At 42.4% G+C, this 22013-nt stretch overlaps 1 protein-coding gene across 2 annotated transcripts in view, besides 2 other annotated features; it reads left to right on the plus strand.

Moving 5' to 3' along the window:
* The window catches only part of NOS1AP (nitric oxide synthase 1 adaptor protein), a 300785-nt gene that overhangs the window by 107561 nt on the left and 171211 nt on the right, over nt 1–22013 (plus strand). The gene's annotated exons all lie outside the window — the stretch shown is intronic.
* Nucleotides 3193–3723: an enhancer, noted in NCBI's record as "H3K4me1 hESC enhancer chr1:162150234-162150764 (GRCh37/hg19 assembly coordinates)". NCBI's record gives its function as "activates a minimal SCP1, AML or CMV promoter by ChIP-STARR-seq in naive H9 embryonic stem cells {active_cell/tissue: H9 hESC(naive)}" and the evidence as "EXISTENCE:reporter gene assay evidence [ECO:0000049][PMID:30033119]".
* Nucleotides 20792–21428: an enhancer, noted in NCBI's record as "OCT4-NANOG-H3K27ac-H3K4me1 hESC enhancer chr1:162167833-162168469 (GRCh37/hg19 assembly coordinates)". NCBI's record gives its function as "activates a minimal SCP1, AML or CMV promoter by ChIP-STARR-seq in naive and primed H9 embryonic stem cells {active_cell/tissue: H9 hESC(naive and primed)}" and the evidence as "EXISTENCE:reporter gene assay evidence [ECO:0000049][PMID:30033119]".

The raw sequence follows: 22013 nt of genomic DNA on the forward strand, positions 1-22013 counted from the left end.
CGCCATTGTGTTAATTAGGAACTTAACCCTGATTCCTGAAAGCAGTTTTCACGTGACTTTGGTGTGGCAGTAAAGGCCAGTAAACCAGAGTGTTTGTTACACAGAGTGATTCGTCCTGTGTGACTCAGGAGAGAGGCCGGCCCACGCATGGCCCTTTCAGATCTTTGGGGTGAGTTGTGGTGGTGTCTGTTTTGCCAGGTAGGTCAGCTGCGGAGTCTTTCAGCCACTGGCATGAAGGGAACCAGCCATGGGTCTGGGGTCAGTGTAGCTCAGTCTCCTGGTTTTCCCACACTTCAGTTTGCGGGGCAGCTCTCTGACCTGTAGTTATATACTGAGTTTGCCTACTCTTTTTATTTACTTATTTATTTTGAAGTTTATATTAATTTATTTAAACATTTTTAACTAAATGATGTGATTTTTCTATTTTTTAAAAAAGTAGTAAACATTATTTTTAGAGTAATTTTAGCAAAATTGAATGGAAAGTTTGGGGATCCCATATATTCCTGCCCCTGCACATGCACAATGTCCCCCACTTTAAACATTCCACACCAGAATGGCACATTGGTTACAACTGATGAACCTACATTGACACATCATTATCACTCAGAGTTCATAATTGACATGAGGGTTCATTCTTGGTGTTGTGCATTCTGTGGGTTTGGACGAGTGTTTAATGACATGTATCTACCATTATAGTTTCATACAGAATAGTTTCACTGCCATAAAAATCCTCTGTCCCCTGCTTATTCATGCCTTCCTCCTCCTAACCTCTAGCAAACACTGATCTTTTTACTGTCTATAATTTTGCCTTTTCCAGAATGTCATATAGTTGGAATCATACAGTAGGTATGAATGGCTTTTTAGATTGGTTTCTTTCACTTAGTAGTATGCATTTAAGATTCCTCTAGGTCTTATTATGGCTCGATAGCTCATTTTTTTTAGTGCTGATTAATATGCCATTGTCTGGATACACCACAGTTGATTTATTCATTCACCTACTGAAGGACATTTTGGCTGCTTCCAAGGTTTGGAATTATGAATAAAGCTGCCAAGAACATCTGTGAGCAGCTTTTTGTGTGGACATAAGTTTTCATTCCATTTGAATAAAGGTGAAAGACTGTGACTGCTGAATGATGTGCTTGCTAAGAGTATGATTAGTTTTGTATTATTTTATTTAAAAATATGTTTACTGAGTATGTGCCATACACCAAACATGGTGCTAGTTGCTAATATATTATTTAATAATCCTTTTAGCAACCCTATGAAGTAGGGCCTTCCACTTTATAGGTGAGGAGACTCAGGCACAGGAGGGCTAGGTAGCTAGTAAGTGACAGCTGGCACTTACACTCATCCCTCCTGATGCCAGAGCTTTTCCCACTGCGTCATGCCGTCTCTGGAGACCAGCATATAACAGAAGGTGGCATCCACCCAGCTAGAAAGGGCTCATCCAGAAGCACCTCGTTCAGCTCACCAGGGTTGCCCGTCAGTTTATGAACAGTGGAAGAAAAAGGTTTCTTTCTCTGTGTGAAAGTTGTAGCCTTGCCTAGGTGCTCTTATACTTCCTGGATGCTCAGCCTATGCTGGCCTATTTAGATTTAAACTGTTTTCATTCCGAGCATTGTCAAACATACACCAAAGTAAAAAGACTAGTTTAGTCCGTCTTATACCTATCACTCAGGTCCTGGAATTACCAGGATTTTATCATTCTTGCTTTATTTGTTTGTGGGGTTTTTTGGTGGGGGTTGAGGGGGGTGGTGCTGGTGGTTATGTATACTGTTTCTTTTTTGGCTGAAAAATTTTGATAACAGTTTTGTCATTAGCTCATCTCCTGGACCTGTGTGGCATCTCTCCTTTCTTTGCATGAATTTCCTACCATTGTGTATCTCGTAGTTACTGGGTATTTATTTTATGTAACAAATGTTTATATAGTCTTAATCATATGTTACACCCTTTTTTAGTTCCTTAACAAATATTAGCTTGTTTACACCTCATAAAAATCTTACGAAATAGATATGAAAACGATTCTTCTTTTAGAGGTGGTAAAACCAAGGCACAGGGAAGTTGAGTAACCTGCCCTGAGTTACACAGCTAGGAAGCCGGCTAGCTGGCTTTCAAATGCAGGCTGTGGGGTTTTATAATCTGTGTTCTTATTTGTCATGCTGTGCTAGATAAACAACAATTCTACAGCCATTGCCAGTCTGTTCTCTGGTACTGCTAAAGACAGAGGAAGGAAAAAGCTAGTTCTTGCCTGCAGATGCATCCAGTCTGTTGGGAAGACGGACCTGGAAACCAGCATTTGGGGTAAATGCTGCAGCGATTATGCAAAAACAATTCAGTGAGAATGTAAAGAAACATTATGTGAAGCTTCTTGAGAAAGTCCAAGCAGGCTTCACAGAGGCTGTGATCCTTGAACTCAGATCCAGAAGGGTGGATGAGTGGGGAGGGAAATCCTGGACCTAGAGGTGAGAGAGCACAGGGAGGGCTGGAGAGAGATGGACTTGACAGTGGATTTCTCAGGCAATAAGATCATGAAGGCGCTGACTTGCCTGCTAAAAAGCTTTGACCTCATCCTGCTGGTAGTAGTGACCTATTGGTAGATTTTTAGCAGAGAATAAATATGGTGAGGTTTGCAGATTACTAAGCTCTCTCTAGAGGTGATGCAGAGGATGGATTGGGAGGAGAAAAGGCCGGACACCATTTATTAGTGCTGGCTGCTGGCAAGAATGTAGGGGCCTAAACTGGAGCCATGACAGTGGGAATGGAGAGCCTGGATCTGAGAGGTGAGGACCAGCATTATGCAGGTGTTCATTATCTGGATTTCTGAATGATATGTTACCTAGGAAAGCAACAGTGATCATAACATCCAAATATTCACCAATGAAGCCATCACTTACAGAAACAATCCCTGTGGCAAATGCACCCGGTGACCTCCAATGTGCCAGGCCCTTGTGTAGCCTCCTCCATGATGTGTTATTTTATTTTTATTTATTTATTTTATTTATTTATTTTTTGAGACAGAGTGTCGCTCTGTCGCCCAGGCTGGAGTGCAGTGGCGCTATCTCTGCTGACTGCAAGCTCCGCCTCCCGGGTTCACGCCGTTCTTCTGCCTCAGCCTTCTGAGTAGCTGGGACCACAGGCGCCCGCCACCACGGCCAGCTAATTTTTTGTATTTTTAGTAGAGGCGCGCTTTCACCGTGTTAGCCAGGATGGTCTCGATCTCCTGACCTTGTGATCCGCCTGCCTCAGCCTCCCAAAGTGCTGGGATTATAGGCATGAGCCACCGCGCCCGGCCAATGTGTTACGTTATTTAAGACCCCATTTTAGCAGCCTGGAGCGGGACCTTCTGCATGTGAGAGGCACATGTGGAAAGGGACTACAGGAGCCTCTTGGAGCGGAGCATGGCCCTCAGCTGACAGCCAGCAAGAAAGTGGAGCCTCAGTCCTGTAGCTGCCGGGAACTCAGTTCTGCCAACGACAACGTGAGCTTGGGAGATGACCCATGAGCTTCAGAAAGGAACACAGCCTGGTTGACACCATGGTTGCAGCTTTGCAAGACTCTCAGCAGAGGACCCATGTAAGCTGTATTCAGACTCCTGACCCAGGGAAACTGGGAGATACTAAATGTGTGTTGCTTTAAGCCTTGAAGTTTGTGGCCATTATTATGCAGCAAGTAGAAAACTAAAACATTCCCTGTTCAGTCATCCTCCCCTTAACAGCAGCATCTATTCTCAGCTATCCTCAAGGTCTATCAGCCAGCATTCTGCTTTCAGATCTGGCAGTACAGTGCAATTTCCATGCAAATGTATTTCAAAGTGAAATTGCAAGTCTTGCAAAAGATGTAGGATTATAGGTAGTCAATAAAAGGATTGCTGGAGAACTGCTCAAACAACTTAACAGACAAAAGAGGACTGGGCAGGGTTAGACCCACTCATAATTGGTGAGAAAAACAATCAGTATGCTGACAAGAAACTGACTTCAAAGGAGAAGGATTTGAATATCTTTGAATATTAAGACACACCTTTGAGAAAATGAAAGCTCTTAAATAATTTCTGCAAAAATTATGCTCTGTATAGTAATGTCATGAAAGTCAGAGATGTAGTAAAGGATGTCATGTTATTATGTAGTGATGTTGGAAAAAAATTACAACAATAAATCAATAACTCAGTCTAGCCTAAGAATTAATGCAAAATTCAATATGATCTAAATATTTCACATTTTAAATAAGGTTTTACATTTTAGATAAGCTTATTTGCATAATTTTTACTTCATTTTGAAAGATTAATTCTGTCAGCTCTTATTTTTTCACTATTGTGAAGTTCTGGTTCTTATTTTTAAGGGCTTTTCTAGTACCAGCTGCCCCCTGGATAACAGTTATCAAGGGCCTTTTGAATTAGGGGGTGATGTTGACATGAACTGCTCACTGGAGTGGATGCTTCCTGATGGCCAGGAATGAGGGGATTGATTTGGGCACTTCCTTTGTAGGATGGAGCCCAAAATGCCCAATTTATTTCATTCATGGCTTCACAAGCCATCAGTATCTCAGATGCTCAAAGATTTTTGTTCAGTACTCTCCTTGTATCAGACAGGAAACATGGTAGACCACTGAGTATGGTCTGAGTTGATTTCAAGTGTATGCAACATCTTTTCTGGGGATGACCTAAGAAGGCCAGCTTTATGAAGGACTCTGGAGAATTCCTGGATAGAGTTGAAAAAAGTCCCACTTGACATTTGCATTGGGCTTGTATTTTTCACAGTGCTTCTATTTACATTGTTATTTTAATCCTCAGAGCTGTACAGTGAGATGGTCAGAGAGCCATCTTCCTTCTTCATGTACTAGAGGAGGAAGCCAGGGTCTGGAGAGATTTGAACACAAAGTCACATGGCTTTTTACTCAGAGGCCCAGAAAGAGGTAGATTATTACAATAATTGTTACGACAGTCATCATTTACAGTGTCTGCTTCCTGACAGTCACTGTGCAGGGTACTTTCATACATAATGTCATTGAACCTTATAATCGGTCACAATACTGTCAAGTTGGTACAGGCATACCTTGGAGATACTGCGGGTTTGGTTCCAGGCCACTGCAATAAAACGAGTATCTCAATAAAGTGAGTCACACAAATATTTTGGTTCCAAGTGCATATAAAAACAAGGTACACTTGATGTTGATGGCTACTGACTGACCAGGGTGCTGGATGCTGAAGGTAGAGGTGGCTGTGTCAATTTCTTAAAATAAAGCAACAATGAAATTTGCTGCAAGGATTGAGTCTTCCTTTTACCAAATATTTCTCTGTAGCGTGTGACACTATTTGATAGCATTACAGTAGAACTTCTTTCAAAATTAGGGTCAGTCCTCTCAAACTCTGCTGCACTGCTTTATCAACTAAGTTTATCTAAATCTTTGTTGCCATTTCAACAATGTTCATAGCGGGTCTACAGGGAGTATATTCCATCTCAAGAAACCAATTTATTTGCTCATCCCTAAGAAGCAACTCCTCATTCATTAAAATTTTATTATGAAATTGTAGCCATTCAGTCACATCTTCAGGCTCCACTTCTCATCGTAGTTCTCTTGCTATTTCTGTTACATGTGCAGTTACTTCCTCCACTGGAGTCTGAACCCCTCAAAGTCATCCTGGAGAACTGGAATTCACTTCTTCCAAGCTCCTGTTGATGTTGATGTTTTGACCTCCTTCCATGAATCATGAATGTTCTAATGGCATCCAGAATGATTAATCTTTTCCAGAAGGTTTTCAATTTGCTTTGTTTGGGTCCTTCAGAGGAGTCACTATCTATGGCAGCTGTAGCCTTACACAATATATTTCTTAAATAATAAGACTTGAAAGTTAAAATGACTGCTGATCCATGGGCAGCAGAATGGATGGTGTGTTAACAGGCATGAAAACAACATTCATCCCCTTGAACATCTCCATCAGAGATCTTGGGTAACCAGGTGCATTGTTAATGACAGTAATATTTTGAAAGAAATATATTTCTGAGCAGTAGGTTTCAACAGGGGGCTTAAAATATTCAGTAAACCATGCTGTAAAGAGATGGGCTGTCATGCCGTCTTTGTTGTTCCGTTTATAGAGAACATGCAGACTTGATTTACCACAATTCTTAAGGACCCCAGGACTTTCAAAATAGTAAATGAGCACTGGCTTTAACTTAAAGTCACCAGCTGTATCACTAGCTGTCCTTTGAAGCTTTGAAACCAGTTATTGATTTCTCTTCTCTAGCTATGAAAGTCCCAGATGGCCTCTTCTTCCAATAGATGGCTCTTCCATTCACATTGAAAATCTGTTGTTTAGTGTAGCCACCTTCATCAATGATCTTAACTAGATCTCCTGGATAACTTGCTGCAGCTTCTGAATCAGCACTTGCTACTTCACCTTCCATTTTTATGTTACAGAGACAGCTTCTTTCCTTTAACCTCATGAACCAACCTCTGCTAACTTCGAACTTTTCTTCTGCAGCTTCGTTCCCTCTCTCAGCCTTTATAGAATTGAAGAGTTAGAGCCTTGCTCTGGATTAGGCTTTGGCTTAGGAGAATGTTGTGGCTGGTTTGATTTGTCTATCTAGACTGTCCAAACTTTTTCCATATCAGCCATAAGGCTGCTTTGCTTTCTTATTATGCATGTGTTCACTGGAGTAGCACTTTTAATCTCCTTCAAGAACTTTTTCTTTGCATTCACATCTTGGCTAACTGTTTGGCACAGGAGGCCTAGCTTTCGGCCTATCTCAGCTTTGGACATTCCTTCCTTACCCGGCTTAATCATTTCTAGCTTTTGGTTTAAAGTGAGAGAGGTAAGACTCTCCCTTTCACTTGACCACTTTACTGATGGGCCATTGTAGGGTTATTAATTGGCCTAATTTCAATATTATTGTGTCTCAGGGAATACAGAGGCCTGAGGAGAGGGAGAGAGATGGGGGAATGGCTGGTTGGTGGAGCAGTCAGAACACATACACATTTATGGATTAAGTTTGCTGTCTCATATGGGCACAGTTTAAGGTGCCCTCCAAAAATTACAATAGTAACAATAACGATCACTAATCACAAATTATCATAACAGAGATGATTATTAAAAAGTATGAAATATTGTGTGAATTAACAAAATGTGACAGATATGAGGTGAGCACATGCTGTTAGAAGAATAGCACTAATAGACATGCTTGACACAGGGTTGCCGCAAACCTTTAATTTGTAAAACAAACAAACAAAAAAACCCCAATATCTGTAAAGCACAACAGAGTGAAATGCACTAAAACAACGTGTGCCTGGCCTGTATTTTTACATTGTTACTGCTGAGAAAACTGTGACTTGGGTGGATTATTGCATCTGGTATGTGGAAGAGCCTGACTCCAGCACTTTACTCTTTCCACCACATCGTGGGACGTTCTAACATCCTTTCTCCTCCACCAATACCATGTCCCACACAATGGGAAAGGTCTCCATAGGATGCCTGTAGAGAACCTGGCAGCCCTGTTTTCCAGTAGTTCCCCTGAGACTGACTGAAGTGAGAAAGTTAGATTAAATCCAAGCTGTAGTCCTCTTTATTGTGTTGCAGTGAGAACCGTGATTTCAGCTGTTGAATAATCAATATAGTCTGTTTATTATTTTCTATTGCTGCTGTAACAAATTACCACAAACTTAGTGACTTAAACAGCACATTTATCTTATAGTTGTGTACATCAGAAGTTCACTATGGGTCTCACTGGGCTAAAAATCAAGATGCTGGCACAGCTGTTTCTTTCTGGAGCTCCAAGAGGATAATCCTTTTCCTTGCCTTTTCTAGCTTAAAGAGGCTGCTGGTATTCCCCAGCTCGTGGCCCCATCCTGTATCTTCAAAGCCAGCATTATTGCATCTCTCTGACCATTCTTCCATAGATATATCTCTTCTATCTTCCTCTTCCACTTTTGAGGACTCTTGTGATTACATTGTACCAGTGGCTGATCCAGGATAATCTCTCCATCTGCAGGGCCTTAATTTAATCACACCTGCCAAGTACCTTTTGCCATGTAAAGTAACATGTTCACTGTTCTGGGGATTAGTGTGTAGACATCTTTGGGGAGGATGCAGCTTGTAATACTGACTGTCTGTATTTGGTGACATTAGTTGTGAGCTCATGTTTCATTCTGTGGTAACATAATTCCGCCCTACTTCCTAGAATCAGTGGCCATACAGATTACGTTTGCCTTTTGGTCAATAATCTGATGCCTTGAAGAACTCAAGTCTTGATGGGGGTTATCTGAACAGCCAGTTATGCAAAGGACTGGAATGTGAGGAGACTGCTGAGTCAGCAGCTGTGTCCTCAAAGCTGGGCTCTCCTATTAACTTGCCATGTGCATTAGGACAGATTGCATAGGCTTCTACCTCTGATATTCCGTAGGAATGAGCATTCTCACCTACTGTCTAGGGTTGCTATAATCACTTATAGGATAGTAATGCAGTTTCTAAAGTTGCATTTTTACATATGTACTTACAATATTAAAGCCAAATATAATAATGAGGAATGTTATTATAATATTTGGAATGAGGATTTGTGGTGGAGGAAAAACAAAACCCTATGCATGCAAATTCCAGAAAGAAAGGATGTATGCACTCTCCCTCCTCTGGAATCATATTTTAATTCTGAATCCTTGTCACATAAGGAGTTACTGAGGTTCTGAGATTATTCTCAAACTTTAGGAGGAGGTCCTAGAAGGGGCTAAGCCTGATAAGATGCTGCCTGGAGGTTAGAAAAGCAAAGTCTTCCTTCTCCTCCTCCTTCGTAGTTGCTTTGCTTAACTTTTGTTTACTTATATATTTTTTGTAAATGTTAAAATAACACTTGTAATTATGGCATCAAGATGGGGTATTCCTGGTGTGATGGATCTATATTCAGCACCATTTATTTAAGACCTTAAGAAACACTCAGTGAAGCAACATTCTGGTTGGCACCACGTTATAATGCATGTCACTGGCAGAAATCCTAATGTCATTGCATTTGGTTCTGGAATGTTGTGATCATCCCACAGATGGGTGTTTAACCCTGTGAGATGTTTCCACAGTGCATTTAATTATTGTTAAACAGTAATTTCTGTTTTTTTTAATGTAAAGCCTGACTCATATATATTGTATAAAGTGTTTTGAAAAGATGAAGAAAAAAAACAAAACAAAACAAAACAAAAAAAAACAAAAAAACCCCAGCTCTCTCCCACTGGCCAGAAATAGCTACTATTAAGTATTTTGGTACACATCTTCTTCGGGTGGACTGAGTGTGTCTCCCCCAAATTCATACGTTGAAACTCTAACCCCCAATGGGATGATATCAAGAGGTGGTAATTAGACTTGGATTAGGTCATGAGGGTGGGGCCCTCATGATGGGATTAGTGTCCTTAGAAGAAGTGAAAGAGAGTCAAGTTCACTCTCTTGGCTGTGTGAGGACACAGTGAGAAGACTGCCATTTGCAAACCAAGAAGCAGGCCCTCACCAGACACTGGATCTGTTTGTTGACACCTTGATTTTGGATGTTCCAGCCTCCAGAACTTGAGAAGTAAATGTTTGTTGTTTAAGCCATTAGTTTATGACACTTTCGTTATAGCAACCCGAGCAGACTGACACTGTTTCAGATTTTCAGATTGTAATTGTTGCAAAAATGGAATGCTTTTAACAAAAATGAAATGTTATGCATAAAGGTTTTTTTGTTGTTGGTTTTGTTGTTGTTGTTGTTATTTATTTGTTTGTTTTTTTGAGACAGGGTCTCACTTTGTCACCCAGGCTGTAGTGGAGTGACCTGATCTCGGCTCACTACAGACTTGACCTCCTAGGCTCAAGTGATCCTCCCACCTCAGCCCCCGAAGTAGCTGGGACTATAGGCCGCACCATCACACCTGGCTAATTTTTTGTATTTTTTGTAAAGATGGGGTTTCGTCATGTTGCCCAGGCTGGTCTTGAACTCCTGAGCTCAAGTGATCCACCCGCCTAGGCCTCCCAAAGTGCTAGGATTACAGGCATGAGCCACCACATTCAGCCACCATGCATAAAGTTTTGTGATCTTCTTTATTCACTTAATAGTTTATATGATTACTTCACATCTTTAAATAATCCTTTACAACATTGTTTTTAATGGCTGAGTATAGTTACATTCTATTAATACATATATTTATTTAACCAGATCCCATTTTTTGACATTTAGCTTGTTTCTAGTTTCTCACAGCTGTCAACATCTTTGTAGTTACATCACAAAATCATTCAAAATTATTCCTTAAGAATAAATTTCTAAATAGAATTTTGCACCCAAGGGTATGGAGAATTCTAATGCTTTTGATACTTACATTGTCAAATTGACTCCTCCTGCCCTCCAGTATTATACCCTCTGAGTATGAGGATGTGTTGGGCTTTCTACCACCCTCTCCAGTGTGTAGAGGTGTTATAGACCTGTGAAAACGGCTGAGTAGAAGATGTTGGAGATAGTTCATGGAAATGTAGGTCAGTGACAATGAGGGGCTCAGGCAAATTCTTGAGCTGGATCAGAAGCAGAGTGACCTTGCAATTGTAGTCATGTTCAGAGCCATGAACATTTGCCTGCTGTCCTGATTAAAAATTTCCTGTGTCTATGATGCCATGTGATGTGCTGGGCAGATGCCAGACTGTTTCCTGCTTGATTCAGCTACATTCATGAGACCATGTAGCAATCAGAAATAAGAGAGCATTTTGAGGAGTTCTGAGGGCCAAGTAAAATGTGGTGGTATAACATATTCTTGTCATTATCCCTGGCTTGCCATCTTACTGTGAAGAAGCCCCTTCCTAGCAAGGAAAACTAGCAGCAGCCCAAAGCCAAAACCAGTTTAATTACCCATTGACTGTTTTCCCATCTGCCTAGTAGGGAAAGTGGCTGGACTCTTGAAAACTGGGACCAATTCTCATGTTTAAGACTTTAACAAAACAGCCTCTGGTCAAATGGCATGCTGGAGTTTTTAGATGAAAGATGCTATTTTGTATAAGCAAATGGTGCCCTTTGCAATCGTTTTGTAAATTATCTGTGGCCTGCTGGAAAGCTACTCAGTATTCTGTTCCACAAACTTCTGCTTAATGAGATAATTCTTCTCTATATTTCTGTTGCTGGAATTGGGCTCACACACTGTCTCTTTATAGGCCATTTCCATAATGCTTGATTAATGCTCTGTTGTTAATATCTTATAAGACCTGGATCACTTGCTTTATTGAAATGGGATTTTTTAGACTGTAGGGGCAGCACTCTTGTTTGTGGGCTCTGATATATGCCACACAGCCTACAACTCGACTCTGGCAAATGTTGAAAGTGCCTAAATTTTTTCAACATTAGCACAAGAGGGCAATCTGGCTGGCTTCTGTCGAATCTTTGGAAAAAGTGACAGAGGTGCTTTGAATGTGGGCTGCATGTGTAGTGGTCTTATGTGCCTTCCTTGAAGTGCAGTGAGTTTTGTTGAATGATAACAGTGTAATAAATGTCTCTATTTTTATTTTCAAATGTTGAACAGTTGGTTAAGATTATTTTAGGCTGAGCACGGTGGCTCACGCCTGTAATCCCAGCACTTTCGGAGGCCGAGGCGGGCGGATCACGAGATCAGGAGTTCGAGACCAGCCTGGCCAACCTGGTCAGGAGTATTTTTAGAAACTCCATCTCTAAAAATACAAAAATTAGCTGGGCACAGTGGCCTGTAGTCCCAGCTACACAGGAGGCTGAGGCAGGAGAATCACTTGAACCCAAGAAGCGGAGGTTGCAGTGAGCCGAGATTGCACCACTGCACTCTAGCCTGGGCGACAGAGTGAGACTTCATCTTGAAAAAATAAATAAATAAATAAATAAAAAGATTATTTTAGTGTTTTTCATGTATATGAAGTTTGAATTTGCATTATAGTATATGTGTTATGATAGTTGTATCATGTCATTTTACCTTACAATAGGAGGTCTAAGAACAGTTTTTTATATGTTGAACATTTCAGCTCTTAATAACTACCCAGAAATTGTCACTTGAAAATGCCATTATAAAAAACCAAAATGTGTTCCTGTCTAGGCAGACTTCATCTATTTGAAACATGGAAAAAGTTTAAGGTGCTCATTTAGTTCTGCTAATTATTTATTGTAGAAAAAACTGGTATTTTTTGTTAGTAGTCTGTTAATTCTTACCTTAAGCAAACTGGTTTCCATAATTTGGATGGAAAAGAAAACACCTTTGCATACAGAATCAGATTTCTCCTACTCAAAGAATTGGACTGTGCTTGGTGTTTCAACAAATATTCATTTAATAGACAAATATTTGAGTATCAGTATCTGACAGAATGTTCTAGGCACTGGGAAACAGGTAAATAAGATAGGCGAGATCTCTCTTCTCATGGAACTTATGTTCAAATGGGAAAGTCTGGTTATAATACAAAGACACAGTAGACAGGGTAACATCAGAGAGTGGTCAGTTCTGTGAATAAAATAAAGAGAAAATAAAGAGAAAATTATTTTTATCTAAATAAAGAGGGTAATGTGACGGAGAGTGATTCTGGGGAAGGCCAGGTGGGGCTACTTTGAAAGTGTCTGGGAAGTCCTCTCTGAGGAGGGGTAATTTGAGTTAAAACCTGAATATTGCCAATGAGCCAGGCTTGCCAAGATCTGTTCATGGCGAGGGATCAGCAGGTACAAGATTGGGAGGCAGCAGTGAGCTGGGCCCCTCCCAGCAACAGAGGGATGGTTTGTGCTGAGTGAAGTGAGTGAGAGCACCCTCCAGTGAAGATGAAGAGGGGCCAGTCCCAGATCGTGGAGACCTTCTAGGGCATGGCTAGTGAGTTTCTCACCCTTTTGTAATCCAGGCCTGTGAATTGATGCCAAGTGAGATTTTGTGGAGCTTAACTTTTTGTAGTGGATATTACAAAAATAATGTAACTTTAACAGTCTCTGTCTTACCCTCCCTGCCCCTCTCTGGCCATGTTCACATAGAACGTGTTTCATCTCTGCTCCCCATGATAGCCCTTCAGATACTTGGCTCCGCCATCTCTCTAGGCTAAACATCTCTAGTTTTATCAGCTGTCCTTCCCTGCTTGAATGGGCTCTTCAACTTCAAGATTTCTTTCTTCTCTGAACACATTTTTTTTAAATTTTATTTTATTTTATTATTATTATACTCTAAGTTTTAGGGTACATGTGCACAATGTGCAGGTTAGTTACATATGTATACATGTTCTGAACACATTTTTTTAAACAATCTGATTTTATTTATTTTTAATTGACAAATAATGTGCATATTCATGGGGTATATAATGATATCTTAATACATAGAATATATAATGATCAGATCAGGATAATTAGCATATTCATAATCTCAAACATTTATCATTTCCTTGTGTTGGGAACATTCAGTGTCTTCCTTCTAGCTATCTGAAACTTTATATATTATTGTTAACTATAGTTATCCGGCAGTGGTGGAGAAGTCTGGGACTTAGTCCTCCTATGTAGCGTAATTTTGTATCCTTTGCCAAATCTCTCCCTATTACCCTCTTCCCCCTACCCTTCCCAGCCTCTAGGACCCGCTGTTCTGCTTTTTACTTTTATGAAATCAACTTTTTTTTAGCTTCCGTATGTGAGTGAGAACATGCAGTGTTTACCTTTCTGTCCCTTAATGTCTGAGAACCTCAGGAATTGGTCACATTCTGATGGTCTGAGGAGAGCAGTGGAAGAGGGATGAGATGCTAGGGTAACCATCATCAGGGTTTTTGAGGGCTGTGTCTTTTTCCAGAAGCAATGGCTCCCTATCGTGTTACTTTTCTAGAGTCCTGAATGGGCAGGGGCCCTGTGTGGGAGACTCTGTAAGCAGAATCTGACAGAGTTGTTCCCTGGTCCACCACCGTCTAACACCCCATGGCTAGACTTGCCCGTCCATATCAGCCTTATGTAAAGCAGCTCTTCTGTTGGCCTCACTTTGATTTTTCTCAGTGTGCCCCATACCACGGGCACTGTCCACACAGGAACATCAGATTGGAAAATATCCCTGAGTTCCCTAAGAGACAGGCACTACTCTGAGGATCTTCCTGCCCTGGCCCCACTTGCTTCTTTCCTGGGGTAGGGTTTCTTCCTAGCTTGCTTCTGACTGTTCTTTCCTGGGGGGGATCTTCCCTGCTTCGAAGTGTTTTCTGTGCACTATGGTGCAGGGGTTTGTGAGGGCAACTGTACAGCTTGTTTCTTTCTGTTTCCTCTCCACAACCCATAGATCTGAGATTATCAGGTTTTGCCCATGTGGAGGTACAATGGGAAGATCCTGTGTTCCCCCAGGACTCTTTAGCATGTCTTCTTTGATTTACTGAATTACTTGAGGGATCTGTGTTTGGGCTGGCAGAAGAAGATAAGGGATTCCAGAAATTCTTGCCGCGTTCTCCTAGATAGCTGGCTACATTCTCTTCCTCTTCCTCTTCCTCCCCCATTGATAAGGCCTGGGGGTAAGAGAGAGTCCAACTCAGATTGATCCTGTAGTTGACCTCTTTGTGTTTGTCACTCATTCTTGATCTTTCTAATGAAGAAAGTTGGCCCATTAATTTTAATTATGGTAATAATGTCATTGAAATCACACCATTCATTTAGCCTAGGTATTACCCTACTCATGTAGAATTAGATAATAAATGCCAAAGTGGTGATGTAGATCCTGGCCTGTGGTTGGTGCTGAGCTAGGGGGTTCTATTCTACTGCTACTCAGATAGGGAGTGGTTGTCCCCTGGAAGATAAGGGACTTGTCTGGGGTTTTTAATGCCAGTGTTTTTGGGCTCCCACCTCTGTGTCCTGGATTATTTGAATAGTCCAGACCAGTGATTCTGAAAATGTGATCCCCAGACCAGTAGTGTCAGGCTCACCTGGGAACTTGTTAGAAATGTGGAGTTTCAGGCCCCACCCAGCACCTGTGGAATATGAAACTCTGGGGGTGGGGCCCAGCAATCTGTGTTTGACAAGCCCTCCAGGTGATTCTGATGTGTGCTCAAGCTTGACAACTGCTGGTCTGAGCCATCAACCTGACTGCCGTTTTCCAGGGTTTTTTCAAGAAGTGTCTTAGACTCTAGTGTGAAAGTTGCTACTCTGCAGATTGTCCTGTTAAACTGGGAAAGGGCTCAGGAAAGTTCAAAAGGGATGATGTATGGGTTTTTGTGTTGGTGTGTAGCTGGTGGGGAGGAAGGCACTCTGAGTGTAGCATGAGGCCTGGTGCAGCAGGCCTGGTCACTGGGGACACTAGGTTCAGAACAAGGAATACAAGTGGCACTTGTGTTAGAGGAACCAGAAGAAGAAAGAGGCTTGAAGACTGGCTTTACCACCACAGAAAGGCTGTTGCCTGCCATGTGGTTTTGGGCAAGGCCACTTTTCCCTGGCCTGTGCCTCAGTGGGCACTGCCTCTTTGCTTAGATGTCTCAACTTTTCTGTTCTTCCACTGGCCAATCCCTTTGCTGATTTAAATATATGTAAATATAGATTTTTAAAATAATTTAATCTACCTGTAGTCAGGTTTACCAGCCTGGGCACCTTTCTGTTTTCCTCAGGTAATTTTGCACCTTTCTGTGTGGATCTGATATATGTTTTATTTTTCAGTTTAATGCTCAGGTCTCCTGAGCTTTTGCAGAGCAGAGCACATCCTCCCTTCCTTTATAGAGACTATGGGGGAGACTTAGCAAGGGATCTATTCTAGTCTTCTGATTTCAGCCAGACCCTCTATCTAACAGGCCACTTTGACCCCTGGTAAAAGTCAAGAGTGTGCCCATGTGCCAGGAACTGACAGCCTCTGCAGAAAAATTCCTGTGATGAGAGAACTCACTGTGTGCTTTTGCGAACACTCAGGATGTTGAAGGATAGTTACAATAGTTACAGATTTTTCTTAACTGTACTGAAAAGATGACTCTCAGGCTGCAAGAAACACTGAAATGCCTTAAGGAGTGATGCTGTGAAGTGGCTGGAAAGGAGCTAAAGCTGGAAGCCTGGGTTGTTTGATAATAATAGGAGCTCTAGATCCCCGAAGTGACAGGTTGTCTCTTCTGAATTATCTTAAGGCAGATTTCAGGGCTCTTCCAGGCTGAAGTGGAGGTAAGCTGAGGTGAAGGGAGATAAGATTCTGGGGCATTTTGTCCTGGAGCATGTCCCAGTCCCTGGGCATAAAGGGATAGACCCAGGGAACTCACAGCTGTTGGGTATGCAGGCTGTTGAAAAGGCTCTAAGAGATAAAGTGGGAATGGCCTGAGAGTTAGAAAGGGAGCTAGACAAGCAATCAGGTCTGAGTGGAGTAAGGAGAGGGTATTTAAGAATTTGTGCTGATGGATTATTTTTGCTTCCTTTTCGCCTTGACCATTTACTGAATGTTTGTCTATCTTGCTGAATAGCAGCCAAGAGACTCTAACTTCTCTTGGTTTCCATCTGTATTTAGTTGGATTGTCTGTTCCCTTCTCTTCTGACAATTCCCTGAAGAATGTCTCCTGATTTTAGAGGGGGCCAGGGAAAAGGGGCCCTTTTCAGAAATCAAGCTAGATCTTTCCTATTTCTTCCTGACCCTTTTTCTAAAGCCTGAGATCACTCTTTTCTCACCCCTTCCTCTCAGTATTAGGTTCTGCTGCTCTCTTTTCCATCTCTAGATGGGTGTTTCTTTACTTTTCTTTCTTTCTTTTTAATTAAGTGGTTACCTTTCTGTCTGAGCTATTGGCAGGGATTTGCCAGGAGATCCAAGGCAGAGCTGCCAGCTTACTGGAGTGTGACAGCTGCTGAGGCCTCCCGTCTCACAGGCTCTGCAGAGATCCAGGGCTGTCACTTCAACAAGTGTCAGATATACACACTCTGCTTGCAGAGCTCCCCATGCATAGCCTTAAATAAATATCCCAGATATATCTGCCCTGTTTCCCATCTCAGACTCCTCTTTTCGTCTCCATCTGGTTTTCAAACATGATTTCCCAACTTCCCAATTACCATCTCGCAAGACCCCTATATGTCCCCTCTCTTCTCTTCATCTCTCTGATAAAATAAGGAACCAAAACAGCCATTACTACTTTAATAGAGCAGAGAGTCTATTCCCTTGGCTGCGATGAGTTTGCAAGACTGCTCTGCCCAGTCTTGTTTGCAGAGAGCCTGGTTGGTCCATCTCTGTAGGTTGTGAGTTTGCGCTGGTTTGGGAACCCCTCTCTCTGGCTGAGGAAAGTCCTCCCCGTATTTAAGTACCCTTCAGTGCTGGCTGTGCCCTTTTTTGTGTTGAGACGTTTTCTCAAAGGGCACTGTGGTTTCTACTTTCCTGCTGGAAGTTCCATGTCTGTGCAAAAGTTTCCTGTAACCTTTCAAGGTTTGTACTCTGTTCCAGAGGGGCTCTTGGATATGAAAATGGTCTTTTTTTCTTAAATGATCTCACAGATGATCAAAAGGAGCACATAAAAGCTGTCCTGGGGATTTGGCAAGGTTGCCAGTGTTCTCTTTACCTTTGGTCTGGTATTTAGGTCTGAGACAGTGTCTCGCCAACAGCCCTTGCTTTCCTCGGGGGGTTGGGGCTGAGAGACACAGAAGGGGAGGCAAGAGGGGCGTATTAATTCCTCTAGGAAGTAGAACTTCATTTTTATTCTAGGAGAGCCATTTGAAATTGGGTTGGCACATTCAGTCCTGAAAAAGTGACCTTGCAGGAGCTAGAATTTTATATCCAGCATTATTTTGGAGGACCTGGCCAGCAGTATTTCCCCTGGATGTATTATTGCATTAACCCTATCCAGTCACTCCTATGAGGTTTGTCTGGACTAGGATTGCTTGTGCCTCATAGTAGAGGAAAAGCCAGAGATGATGTTCTCTGGACTCACGGAAGCCGCTTAGCAGTTCTGTGATTTTTGTAAAATCTGCTTTCTCTCTGGTGAAATGGGATAGGGGTAGTATAGAGGGTCTCTGAGGACTCAGTGACACAATATATAAAGTACTTAGTATAGTATCTAGCACATAGTAGATATTCAATAAATGGAAGCTGTCATCGTGAATAATCACATTGATAATTATTAATATTAATACCAAATTACTATTTCTCAGCATGAAGTTGGTACCCCATATTTACTGTCCCATAAGTACCTTGCTCTTACTCATTGCATTTATCACTCTGTCCTTTAATCACCATTGTACTTGCTTTCTCTCTACGAGGCCATACTCCTAGACCCTTGAAAACACTAGTAATGTCAGGTTTACCATTGCATCCCAGCATCTCCAGCACCTGGCATGGTACCTGGCACATATGACAGGCTCAGTATTTATGCATTAAATAAATACATGATCAAAATTCTCTAGCTGACTTTTTATTTTTTAAATTTGTTCCTCTTCTGCAATGCTCATCCTCTACTTCATGCAAACTGGGTACCCCTTTGTACACTCTTTCTGCTTCTCCAGTTACCATTACTGTTGCCGTGTCCTTTCCTTCATTCATGCCTGTCCTCTTGTCTTGAAATGACTTTCATCTTTTCTGTTACTATTTGACATCCTTTTTTTCACTTCTTGTGTTCTTTCTCTTCTATGACGCATACCCTAATCACTCCAGCCCATATTAATCTTGTTCATGAAATCTTGTTTCATGTATAGCCCGTAAGTCCTTGTTGTTCTTGGATTGAGTTTTATATTTCCAACCAGACTGTCAGCTTCTGGAGAGAAGTCATAATATCGTTGATTGTCCCTACCCATTATATGTCATGGTCTGGGGCCAGGTACATAATTGGCTCTAAATAAAAAGTAAGCCACTGTCAAAATGATTAAATAAATTAGACTATTGGACCAAAGGGGTAAAGGAGATGAAAAGGTTTTCGCTGATAGGACACAGTCTTTAGAGTTGGTTGTGTGAATGTGGGGGTTAAAGAACAGTTACCAGTGCCTCAGTGCTTTGTTAAGATTTGGGTTTTCTGTATCTATACACTCTCTTACCAGTTCTTGGTCTTGCCTTTCCCCCAGTCATGTTTGGAGGAAAATGTGGTAAAATGGAAATCTGTCAACTGCTTCTGGGTTGGAAGGCAACATACTTGATGACGATAAAGGAATTGGGAATGCCTAATGGTGACATTGGGGCTCACCATTTAGTGGGTTTTATTCACCAATGCTGTCTTCATTTCTTTGCTAGTTTGGTTGATACCACGCTCTTTCTGTATTAAGCTGTAATCTATTGATTCATACGTTTAACATTTTTGAGGCCAGATGTACAGCAGAGAACTCCGTATGTTGCGGGGATTTCAGAAGATGTGGTGTGCAGCACATAGTAGATGCTTTGTTAATGTTGGGAAGGATGCACACAAATATAAAACATGCCCTTCAGGAATGTGCAGTCTGCTCCAGGCTGCAGTGAAGTAGCAGGGTGAGGCTGGAATGAGTAGGGGCCAAAGGGCACCAGTTCTCAAGGGAGAGTCGTTGGGAAGCAGAAACAGGAAAGAGATGCTGGATGAGCTTCCCATTGCCACATGGACTGTGGAAGGCAGACTATAATAGAAATCAAAGTGCTTTGAAAAAATGCAGTGCAGTATTCTATTATAAATATTTAAATAATCATAAATTTTACAGATTGATATAGGGGTTGCTTGGGGGGAACAGACTGCCTGGCACTTGGCAGATGGTCAGTAAAACATTTATTGTGCGAACGAATCTAGAGTAGAGTAGGGCTGGAGGCCCCGCTATGGTTTTTGTCCCTCTTCTCTTTTTCATGCCCATTCCTTCTGCTGGTTCAGGCAGTAGCATTTCATTTTCCAGCTGTAACTAAATGAGAAATTACGAGGAGTGGTTCGAATAGAGTTTGTCGGTGGCTCTCCTTTTCTTCGCCCATTCCATTGTGAAGATGAGCCAGTAAGGCTCTGCATGGATATTTTCTGGCAAGGGCATCAAACACGTTTCTGAGGGCAGAGTCCATGTTGTTGAGTAATAATTAACTGCTAATGGCATTGTCTTGGGTGTTGCATAGTAAATAATCAAGAAATAGTCTCTTTTCAATGAGAGTTTGAAGGCCAATGCAAAGACCACACACGGGCAAGCCTGAAAGGTGCTGTTTTGACTAACCTTAATGGGAAACAAAGGGAAAATCTGGCTTGTTTTGTGTGGCCATGCTTAATTGCATGATGGTGTGTTTTTCCCTTGAATTTCCTCATGCCCCGTGGAGGGCACACGCATGATGGTGCTCTGCCGAGCCAGGATTATAGAACAGAGGTTCTTGGCAGCCGGGATGTACTGGCTGCTATGTTGTCTAGCGTGCTGGATCTTACTGGGAGCTTTCAGATCGGAGTCTCTGTGAAATGGAACAAGTGAACTGAGCCTAGTCTGTTCCTAAAAATAAGTCTCTAAGAAGCAAGTGAAGTGCTTTTCAGTGGGAAGCCTGTGGAGAAAGAGCCTGGAACACAGTCTGGAAGTAAGGCAATTCAGGGTTCCTTTACCCAACCCTTTTCAGGCTCAGGAGAGAGGAAGTGACTTGTCTCGGGTCACTTAGGGGCTAGGCCTCGCACCTGATCTGTTGTATTTCTCTGCCTGGGCTCTTTTCCACCACCAGGGGCCAACTGTCCAGAATGTCATTTTCCTGAGTGAGGAAGCAGAGATGCCTGGCTCTAGGGTGTGCGGCAGGGCTACAGGACTGAGAGTGTCCAACTCTCTTGGCCCTGCCGCACTATCCTCAGGTTAACTGGTGTTCCCCGCTGGCCTGCTGTTCAGGGCTCTGTGGGAGAGAGCTTTGCAGCACATGCAAAGGAGGTATGAGGAGGGCAGATGGCTCCACCAGCCTCGCCCAGAGTGTGTCTTCATCCTACCTGCCATGGGGCGAGTCATGGAGGCGTCATGGGCCCGGCCTGGCTGTAGGAGGGCCCTGGTACTGCCTCCTCAGGGTTTGACCTGGAAGGCGTTCTAGGAGCATGATGAGGGAGGGATGGGCACAGGGTGTAGGAGAGAGTGGGCTGGTGTGATGCTCGTTTAGGGGCTGGGAGGGAGCTAGGGGAGCCAGGGAGAGAATGACATTTTAATTACACAGTGAGTTGTCAGGACTATAATCTTCTCTGATGGCTCTTCTTATTTTCCAGTCATCAAAGCCATCTGCATACGAATTGGAGGTGCTGAGGTTTAAACTTTCTGATCGTTGTGATGGTGATGCTGATGTCAGTCTGACTTTTTGTGATCTTGTCCTGGGTGAAGAGGGCAGGATCCACTGGTTGTAGTATCTGAAATGCCCTGCAGTGGCAAGATTCAATCCCTTGTGAATCCCATTCTGACATTTCCAGGGCTGGATTTAAGAAACTTAAGGCAAAAGTCAAGCCCTAAAGACATCTGAAAACGATGCAGGGTCTTGAATTATTGTTGCCTGACTCTGAGAGGATGGGCCTCAGGAGGACTACTTCTCCTAGGCTTTGGAAATGGGTACATCTGCATGGTATTTGTTAGTGTCAAAATGCAGCAAATCTCTAAATGATTGTTCCTCTGACTCAAATTTAATCCACTGATTCTTTCATTATCTCGTGGATTCAATAGCCTGGTATTTGTGGAGAGCCTTCCTTGTGTCATGCTCTTTGCTGGAACTGGGAATCAAACGGCAGACCAGGCATACTCAGTGCCTGCCTCCAGAGCTTAGGAGTGAGGCTGGAGGACACTGTGCACCAGCACCACTATTCATATGTGGCTTCTGAGGCGAGAGAGAGGACATATTTCACCCAAGGACTTGGGGCTTGGGGCCTTGCTTTCCTAGCTAGGTGGAAAGCAGCTGGAGGGTAGGATCAGGTTTTACCCCTCCGCATAATGCCCTGCAAAGAATAACCACTCAACTAATATGGGTTGATTGATTAAATATGGCAAAGGGACACCTTACACCCTCTTCCAGTTATCCTGCTTCATTGTTAGGGGATAGGCATGGGGGTTAAGCCTTGCAATCCTCCTGTTTCTCACCACAAATGTAACTTGCACTGACCATCAAACCTCCTTGAGTCGGCTTTAAGAGTTTCTTTCTAGAATCATGTGGGACTTGAGGCAAGAGGAGACTGGATGGAGGTTTTTACTCTTTGATGGAATCTCGCATAGATGTTC

This window comes from Homo sapiens, chromosome 1 (assembly GCF_000001405.40).
Source record: "Homo sapiens chromosome 1, GRCh38.p14 Primary Assembly".
NCBI classification, from domain to species: domain Eukaryota; kingdom Metazoa; phylum Chordata; class Mammalia; order Primates; family Hominidae; genus Homo; species Homo sapiens.